At 43.0% G+C, this 9874-nt stretch overlaps 1 long non-coding RNA gene across 3 annotated transcripts, besides 3 other annotated features; it reads left to right on the plus strand.

The window, feature by feature from the left end:
* Positions 3011–3070: an enhancer, noted in NCBI's record as "active region_27449". NCBI's record gives its function as "activates an Ori minimal core promoter by ATAC-STARR-seq in GM12878 lymphoblastoid cells {active_cell/tissue: GM12878}" and the evidence as "EXISTENCE:reporter gene assay evidence [ECO:0000049][PMID:35858748]".
* On the plus strand, positions 3426–9473 carry LOC107986946 (uncharacterized). Of its 3 annotated transcripts, none has more exons than XR_001745930.2 (4): positions 3426–3979; positions 7050–7232; positions 8021–8157; positions 9222–9473. It is a non-coding gene; the product is annotated as an uncharacterized LOC107986946 (long non-coding RNA). The 3 variants fall into 3 exon arrangements; XR_001745929.2 differs by lacking the exon at positions 9222–9473 and adding an exon at positions 8377–9071; XR_001745928.2 differs by lacking the exon at positions 9222–9473 and having other exon boundaries at positions 8021–9071.
* Positions 4882–5514: an enhancer, noted in NCBI's record as "NANOG hESC enhancer chr8:63922378-63923010 (GRCh37/hg19 assembly coordinates)". NCBI's record gives its function as "activates a minimal SCP1, AML or CMV promoter by ChIP-STARR-seq in primed H9 embryonic stem cells {active_cell/tissue: H9 hESC(primed)}" and the evidence as "EXISTENCE:reporter gene assay evidence [ECO:0000049][PMID:30033119]".
* Positions 5160–5219: a silencer, noted in NCBI's record as "silent region_19239". NCBI's record gives its function as "represses an Ori minimal core promoter by ATAC-STARR-seq in GM12878 lymphoblastoid cells {active_cell/tissue: GM12878}" and the evidence as "EXISTENCE:reporter gene assay evidence [ECO:0000049][PMID:35858748]".

The following is a 9874-nucleotide window of genomic DNA, read 5'->3' on the forward strand; positions in this document are numbered from 1 at the left end:
AACATTTAAATAGGAAAAGATATCAAAACAAATTCTTTAAAAGAAAACCAATAAGGGAAAGTCAGTCCTATATTAAAATATGTTACAAATATATTGCAATTAAATGAGAGATATTGGCATAAGAATAAGCATAAATTAATGAAACAAAATTGATGGCAGAAAACAGACAACAGTGTTTACAATAATTCATTATATCCTATAGACAGCATCATGAATAACTGGAGGAAGATTATTTGACAATAATTCTGGAAAAACTGGTTGTAAATATAGAACAAAAAATTAGTTACTAACTTCACTTCATATCCCAAAATCAACCGTGGTTGAGTTACAGAGTTAAAAATTATAATATAGAAAATCAGAAAAAAAATAAAACAAAAAAGAGGGAAATACTTTCTAGGCTTAAAGAAAGAGCTAAACAAACATTGAAAGAAAATCTAAAAATGTGGCTACATAAAAAGAAAAATTTATTTACGTCAAGGAAAAAAGAAGACATAAAGTCAAAGAAGACTGAGATAAAAACATTTTCTATAAAGATGACAAGTAAGAGGTTAATAATGTTATGTAAAGAACTATATACCTAACTTGTTAGCTTGAAAGTAGGGTAAAAGAAAGATAAAATGAGAATTGCGTACCAAAAGAAAAAAAGAACTGTATACCAAATAAGATAAACATTAAGAAACTAATAAAAAGTAAAAGAAATGAATAGTTAATTCGCAATATAGATAAAACAAATATTGAGCCTAGTGTGGTGGTGTGTGCCTATCGTCTCAGCTGCTTGGGAGGCTGAGGCAGGAGGACCACTTGAGCCCAGAAGATGGAGGCTGTACTATGATTATGTTCATGAATAGCCTCTGCATTCCAGGCTGGGCAATACCAAGAGACCCTGCCTCTAAAAAAATTAATAATTAAAGAAATAAAGAAACAAATACTGCCAGGCGTGGTGGCTCACGCCTGTAATCCCGGTACTTTGGGAGGCCAAGGTGGGCGGATCACCTGAGGTTGGGAGTTTGAGACCAGCCTGACCAACATGGAGAAACACTGTCTCTACTAAAAATACAAAATTAGCCGGGCGTGGTAGTACATGCCTGTAATCCCAGCTACTTGGGAAACTGAGGCAGGAGAATCACTTGAACCCGGGAGGCGGAGGTTGCAGTGAGCCAAAATCGTGCCATTGCACTCCAGCCTGGGCAACAAGAGCGAAACTCTGTCTCAAAAAAAAAAAAATACTGAGCTCGTTTATTATCACTAGCCATCAAAGAAATGAAGAAATGAGAGAAACAGTAATGTACCTTTCTTCATTTATTAGCATATAATGAAATAAAATGTTTCTCTTGCTTGGTCCATTCAGGCTGCTATAACAAAATACCATAGACTAGGCAGCTTACAAACAACAGAAACTTATTTCTCACAGTTCTGGAGGCTAGAAAGTCCAAGAACAAGGGTCTTGCAGATTTGGTGTCTGGTGAGGGCCTGTTTCCTGGACAGCTTCTTACTCTAACCTCACATGGTAGAAGAGGCAGTAGGTCTCTTTCAGGCCTCTTTTATAAGTGCACTAATGCCACTCACAAAGGCTCCACGCTAATCACCTTCCAAAGGCCCCACACCGTAATACTATCACCTTGGGGATTAGGATCTCAACCTATGAACTTGTGTGTGAAACAAACATTCAGACTGTAGCAGTATTCAATAATATTCAAGGCTACTGAGGGTCTGGTAAAATTGGTGCCATAATGTGTTGCCAGACACAGTGGCTCATGCCTGTAATTCCAGCACTTTGGGAGACCAAGGGGGGACGATCACCTGAGCCCAGGAGTTTGAGATCAGCCTGGGCAACATGGCGAAACCCCATCTCTACAAGAAGCATAAAAAATTAGCTGGGTGTGGTGGCGTGCACCTGTAGTCCCAGCTACTTGGGAGGCTGAGGTGTGAGGATCACCTGAGCCTGGGAGGTCAAGGCTGCAGTGAGTTGTGATTGCACCACTGCACTCCAGCCTGGGTGACAGAGCTAGATCCTGTATCAAAATAATAATAATAATAATAAATAAATTAATTACAAAATATGCTGTCAGAAACACTGTAAAATATGTTGATTCTTGTGGAAAGCAACTTTGAAATTGAATCAAGAACCAAAGGTTTCCCAATAATCCCATTTTGGAAATTAAGGAAATTATCTCAGAGTTCCTGCTCAGGAACCAGGGCAGGATGTCACTTGACACTGGTAGCCCAACCTGTCAGATGCCACCATAGCTAAGGAAGACGCCGAATCAAAAAGCAGCAACGATCCCTAATCCCTGTGGGTCAGAGGCACCCCGGAGGTCCTTTTGGGTGACCCTTTGGTTGTCCCAGGCAGTGACCAGCGGCCAGGTATGTATCTTATCAGAGGAAGTGAGGAAGTAGTCAGGGTAAAAACCATAGTTCATGTGAAAGGGAAATGGGCAGCAATGGTGGCAGAGGTGTGCTTGACCAGATGCAGGGGGCTCTAGGCCCTAACCTGAAAGCTCTGATTCGCTTTGGGTCTGTGAATGAAGAATCCTGAACAACGAACCTGACTCAGAGGCTTCAGAATCCAGGTACAAACTGAGCACTGGGATCAAATGTTGGCTGGCTTGGCCATCCATAAAGCCATCAGCTGTTGCTGGTAATCAGTGGAGAAGGGAATGGGGGACTTGCACTCCAGCGGATGGCATCTACCATTTTTATGAGGGTGTAACATAAATCTCACAACCATAAGAGGAGTCAAATAGAAAGAGAAGTCCAAGCAAGAACTTCCTGGGGGCATTTGTAGATCAGATATGGCACAAGTCACCTGGCCAAGGCACAGAAGGCACAGAAGTGACTGGATTAACCACCTGTTTTCTAGCTTCAATATCGGATGCTTTGACCTGAGAGGCCTTCCTGAAGGGGAGGGGGGCCTGTGGGGGGAGGCGGGGTGCTACTTTTCCCAGTGCCAGCTAATTCTTAGAGGTAACAAACCCTCCTGTGGGGTTGCCTTTCATAAGCAAACTAACCAATTCAGAGCCCTCTCCCCACCCCCTGCTTAATGAGCTCTTGCACTGGGGGACACTATTCCCCTGTCCTAATCACCTCAGGCACAGGCAGGGCATCGAGTTATGCAAGTGAGCCAATCTTAAACCTGCTTAGCCTGCTCACCCTGTCTCACCCACGCTTTCCTGCAAACACCACAAAAAGGCTCTTTCAGGTGGCAGTTCGCCTCACTCTCTGTGCCTACAACCGACCTCAGAGCCCCTCCTGTGGCCTGCATGGGTGGCTGACCTGCCCCCCTCCTCCTGGAAACTCTAATAAACTATCATTTCAATGGCAGTTGTCTCCTGATCTGTTGGCCTCACCATACCTAAATAAAAAATAAAATCTACATTTTAAAAGGGGCTCATGGGCAGTGTCAGCTTCCTTCCAAGCTGGCAAATTTGAGCAGTCTTGTCTCAGTGTTTTCAGGGGTCCGTGGTATCTAACTGGCTCAACGCTTGGACAAAGACATCTTATGGATACAAAAGGAATCAACCCCCTCGCGATGCTTTCAGCATCTCATATGCTTATCCTGGGAGGATTTGGGTCTCAGGAAGGACACATGGTTGTCTGTCTGCTGCCAGCCCAGACGACAAGGACTGCCCAGTGGTCCCACGGCATCAGAAGCTAAATAAAATGGTTATTTTAAACCACTAAACTAGGAGAACATAGAGTTGTTGCACAACAAACAAGAGCTTCTGAAACCGCTTGATGTCCTAAGGTTAGCATTCCCTCAATCTGGACTTGGAACCCCTTCCTGTGGGAGGACTAGATGAACATGGAACTGAGCCTGGCAGACACTGCAAATGAGGCCCCTGCCAGCCAGGGGAAGCATTGATAGGCACACTGAGGGTATGCTGAAGAAGGCAGTGAGGTCCAGCTCCAGGAAGCTGCAGCAACATTAGGCCACTGCAGCGGACCTCATTTTCAGAAGGATTTTAAGCCAAAGCCCAAGGTAAAGGGGAGCAAGGACTTTTATGCAGCTTGTTTTTGTGCAGGTATTAAGGACTCTCAGGAAGCCTGGTCCTTCAGGGGTTTATTTTGTTTGTTTATTTGTTTTGTTTTGTTTTTTCTATACACAGGGGAGAGGATTCAAATGCAGTAATCAGTTTCTTGCTCTTTTTTTTTTCTTCTTAAATAGAGACAGAGTCTCGCTCTATTGCCCAGGCTGGTTTCAAATTCCTGGGCTCAAACAATCCTCATGCCTCAGCCTCCGAAACTGCTGGGATTACAGGCATGAGCCCCGATGCTTGGCCAATTTTCTTGTTCTGTAAAGCTGCACTGCTTAAGCACAAGGCCAAAATGAGGTCTCTCACCACTTCTGCCTGAACTAAACTTACCCAGTGAATGCTGGGCTGGGCAGTCCAGTCTTCCCCACATGTGGTAATGTTCTGCTCTCAGTCATGTTCTAACCACAAGGCAGCAAACACTGGCGCAGCTGAGCCCGAGGCTGGGGCTGCAGTCTGAACTTTTACATTACTCAGTTAATTACAAAGCCAGTCAAATCACCCCAAAGATCCACACACCCAAGAGTGCTGGATAAGAAAAAAATCCTGCATATCAAACCCCTTCTGGGGGAGAGACCAGGGAGAGCGTGGAAGAGAAGAGGTCTGGGGTATGCAGTGGCTGGTGGCCTAGAGCAATTCTAACCCAGGAGGCCTCAACAGGGAGCCTGCACCTGAATGTTGGAAGAAGCAGGGTTTCCGTCAGTCTGTGTTGGCTTTAAAGGAACCATCCTTCATGCCCAAAGGAGGCAAGTGTTTGGCAGCTTTTCCAGATGGCATGTCTTGCAGTCGTTGAAAATTTTTTAAAGTGTAATTCTTGATAGTGTATCTCCAAGACAGAGAGACAAGCCCCTAGTCACCCTTCTGAACACCATAAAGTAAGTTGCGATCTCCATCAGACACTGGGGCACTTGTCCTGGACTCTCTTGGCTTGTGGGAACTTGCTTGCATGTCAAGCTTTCTTCAGTTCCGTTCCTAATTCCAGACTCCATTGTCCCGTTACTAAATTGCTCTGGTCCTTTTGGCTCTTGCACTTTGATTCCGCAGGTGGACTTTGACTTGGATCTGCTTCCCTGCCCCACTTTGGGCCATAAAAGTAGAATTCCTGACCTGTCTGCACCCTGGATCCACCTCCTACAGTGACCAATCCTAGCCTGCTGAGCTTAGTCACTCGGCAGGGCAATTCAACCCTCCCAGAGGGTAAAGACCCAGCAGCTCAGGCGGCCCTGCAGCAATGAGGAAACGTGCTTTTGATCTAGTTAAGTAAAAGGAGCAGAACACAAACTGTATTTGCAACTGTGTGAAAATAGGCCAAGGGGAAATAACAAAAGGACTTCCTTAATTCAATTTTTTATTATCATCGTTACATTGTTATTGTTCTGAAGTCTATTCTAAGTTGAAATCTTGTTTTATGTGGCTATTTTCCCTCAAAACTGGGGTCAATCATTATATTTAATTATACTAACAGATTCGCATACATTATTTGTTAGCTCCTTTGTCCTTGGGTAGAGACGAGCAAAGAGGAACCAAGTAATTTAGATTCTTTTAACTAGAGAAGAAAAAAATGCAAATTCCCATCCTCACTTCATTTTACAAAACTGAAAGAGAAAGGATAGTTTTAACTATTGGCAAAGTAAAATTGCTCTTCTAGCTGCTCAAGTTGAACACTTATTGTACAAATTATTAATTTTATTAAAAGTGTATGAAATAATTTTTTAGATTATCAGAGACTATAAAATAAAAAGCATCTTTTCTCAGTTTAAAAACGAAGGACAATTTTAAAGGACTCAAAGTATGCAGAATATAAATAGAAGCTTTCATGGCTAATGTTACACAGTTAGTAAATGGCACACATAAAACATGACCCTTGGCATCCTGACTTCTGGTGCACCTGTCCACTCTTCTCCACTGGGAAGCTGGATGGAAGGTATGACATACAAACTGGTTAAGAAAGAATTGCAATTCTTAGTTTGTGAACAGTTCATTGTAATAATCCAGGAGTGACGTGACTGGTCTAAAACAAATACTATGTAAGCTTCATTAATGAAAATACAGTCTTCCCACTACCCAGTGTGATCATCTAAATTCTCTTCCATTCTGAGATTCTCTAATTCCCTCAAAACCTTGAGTTTCTCCCTGAAAAACTTCTGGGATTAACTTGAATGCTGAACTATAGCAAAAGATGTTACAGTGTTATTGTAAAATTCTAAAGGGATCTATGCTATGAAACAAACTGGCTTTAAATTAAGATTATGAGAAATTATAACAAATGTCAGAGAACTGGAAGCCTAAAAGCATGCCAAATTTATGCAAAAAGGAACAAGTTCAACAAGAAAGCTAATGATTAGAAACTTTCCCTTGAATTTGGAGGGGAAACCATGACAAGATTTAGAGTACATTATGTTGAGAAACCTTATGCTATAGAAAAAGAAAAATGCAAACCAAGTTCATGTTCATTTGAAGCACTTCTCCTGCCCACATCCTTAGAAATGACCAAGGAATGCTTGATTAATTTGGTACCTTCCCTGCAAGCTTTCCCAGAAGCATCTCTCATTATATGAGGTGTTGATTCTTTCTTCACCCACCCAAAGAAACACTCTGCTAGCCTAGATTTTGGCCAGTTAAGCATCAGGGGAAAGAAAATTGGAATTGTATGTACAATCTACAGATTTATATACATGATAGCACCTGGCCCTTAATAGATGCTTAAAAGTGTTTTTATCGAGTCATCAGGACCTCCTCATAGATCAGAATGGAAAATATCCAGTATTAGGTGTAAGTCTATGTTTATGTTTATATTTAAATAAATATATATTTAAATAAATTAAATACAATATTTAATAAATATAATTTACTGGTAAATATTCCTTAGGTTTCTAACAATTTCCTGAAATCTATTATTCTAAATAATTGAACGCAAACACAACCAGCTAAACATTAGGTTAGCTTGTTCTCTCCTGACATCTAGTGTTTCCAATACATTACTGCAAAACACCAGTTTTTCTTTTTTAATGTTTACAGGTTTATTATAAAGGACTTACAAAGGACAAAGACGAAGAGACACATAGGGCAAGGTACCAGGGAAGGGGCACAGAGCTTCCATGCCCTCCCTGGGCGCATCACTCTACAGGAACCTCCCTGTGTTCAGCTATCCAGAAGCTCTCCAAACTCCATCCTCTTGGGCTTTAATGGAAGCTTCGCAAGGTCAGCATTCCTTCCCCCAGGGTATGCGGTGGGGCCCTCTCTGGAGAACCCCAGTTAATTTTTAAATATTAAAATAAAAATGCTGGCCAGGCACAGTGACTCACACCTGTAATCCCAGCACTTTAGGAGGCTGAGGCAGGGGGATCACTTGAAGTCAGGAATTCAAGACCAGTCTGACCAGCACGGTGAAACCCCATCTCTACTAAAAATACAAAATTTAGCCAGCTGTGGTGGTGCGTGCCTGTAATCCCAGCTGCTTGGGAGGCTGAGGCAGGAGAGTCATCTGAATCCTGGAGACAGATGTTGCAGTGAGCTGAGATTGCACCACTGCACTTCATCCAGCCTGGGGTGACAGAACGAGACTCCGTTTCAAAAAAATAAAAGAATGAAAATGCTATGTGGAACAAAAATTGTATTCATTTTTGAAACAAGTTTGTTTAAATGAAATGAAATCCCAAGCAAACAACAAAGCTGTTTCTGAGGAGTGAAAGACCTTTTTTGCTTAATTCTTCCCATAGGAGAAAATTCTTTGAAATATTTTCTTGCAATTCGATAAAAATGGAAAGACCCAGCATGTAGGTAGGGCTGCTTGATTATTGCAATGGAGGGAGGGAAGATGGGGAAGCACATGCAGCCCTTCTGTGCACCAGGCTCCAGGTGTGAGGACTCTCATAGCACCATTTGTGCAACGACGGATTCGGCCTACTGACAAGGTTTTGAGGATTTCCCTACTCTGCTATGTGGAAATGGAGACACTCAACATCTCCTTATAAAATATCTTGTGCCAGCCCTCAAGATACATGAAGCTGTGGGCCCTCAGAAACATCTGGCTCAGCAGAAATGACTGCAGGGTCTGCCTCTGAAGCCCAGCGTTTCTACTCCATTTGGGATATTCCACACAGGAAGAGAATTGGAAATGCTGGAGGTAAGAGCTTTGGCAATCGCTCTCCAAAAACCCTTGGAAACTCAAGTCAGCTTTGGCTGGGGAAGGGTACACATTAGCTATCTCTTCCATACCCACCCAGTCCTTCCTGTTTCTGTTCATTCTTCTTATTCTTTCTAATCCACACCTGCTCCCTCAGTCACACTTTCAGCCTCTGCCCTCTCCTGCTGACAGAGGGCTGTGATCTCCCCTCCTCCCCAGGCTCCCCACGTCAGGCCGTCCTCCAGGAGTGGCTATCCATCTCTAAGGGCTTTCCGGACTGCTGCCCAGCAACTTCAACAGGCACCTCTAATCGACGACCTCTCCTGCCTCCGCTGGTGTAGGGACGCCAGGCTTCTGAACAGCACTGCTCTCCTCATTTGCCTTCAAGCTGGCCTATCTTTCCTGCTGGTGGTGGTGGGCAGAGGCAAGGGTGTGGTCAGCTTTGAAAGAGATTCCATTCTTGGAATAAAGTGATCTAGCAAACAAAGTCTTCAAAAAAAAAATACATGAGGGGAAAAACAATAAGCTGAACATGAGCAGAAAACACATTTTCTTGCATTTGTGGTCATCTTCTATGAAGCACAGTAAGAATCTTTGGAAGCCAGTCTTCAGGGCAAAAGGATGGAGGATGCAGCATCATGAGTATCCAGAGAGTCAGGATGAAGTTGTTCTTGGGAACTGCAGAGACAAGCAGTTCTATATGGTTTCAACACAAATGGGCTAGGAAGAACCCTGGCACCGTGAGCAATAATAGTGTCACTACCTTTTTCTAGAGGTGGGAGACAAAAACTTAGCCAGACACATTCAACAGTAAGACTCAACAAAGAATCTTCATATTCATGGACAGAAACTAAATCTGCCACATTTCTAGTAAGGTTCTTTCTTGGTTAATTAAATGTATTAATCTCTTCCAATTTCTATGTGCTATTTGTCCTCATTCCCCAAAGATTATGGCTTAGCTCAGTGTCTGCAGGTGATTGTTCTTCTCTTGTTGCAGGTAAAATCATCCACGATGCCCTCCAATATCATTCCCAATCAGTTTCCTGTTTCCCCTTCTCTTGCAGAAGCTCTGGAAGCCCACAGAGAACAGATGCATAAACACCATTTACCAGACACAGCTCAGCAAACCCTCTCTCTCTTCCTTCCAGCAGCTTGGTTGTCCTCAAGGAGTTCCTAAATTTCATACTTCTGAGGGTTATATGGGATGGTGAGGGGTGGAGGAGAGTAGCACGGATTGAAAAATACATTAATGTTGGCTGGGCACAGTGGCTCACACCTGTAATCCCAGCGCTTTGGGAGGCCGAGGCTGGTAGATCACCTGAGGTCAGGAGTTTGAGACCAGCCTGGCCAACATGGCGAAACCCCATCTCTACTAAAAATACAAAATTTAGCTGGGTGTGATGGCACATGCTTGTAATCCCAGCTACTCAGGAGGCTGAGGCAGGAGAATCGCTTGAACCCAGGAAGCGGAGGTTGCAGTGAGCTGAGATTGCAGCATTGCACTCCAGCCTGGGCAACAAGAGAGATGCTCCATCTTAAAAAAAAAAAGAAAAATACATTAAAGTGTACCAAAATAAATATATGACAGCTTTTAAATTATTTTCCATGGGAAAAAAACTTATAATTAGTGACAATTACTTACTGAGGGCCTGCTGGGCTAGACATTATGGACATTGTGAAAGATAAAAAGTTCAAGACACAGACTCTGTTTTCAGGA

Source organism: Homo sapiens, chromosome 8, assembly GCF_000001405.40.
Source record: "Homo sapiens chromosome 8, GRCh38.p14 Primary Assembly".
Classification (NCBI taxonomy): Eukaryota; Metazoa; Chordata; class Mammalia; order Primates; family Hominidae; genus Homo; species Homo sapiens.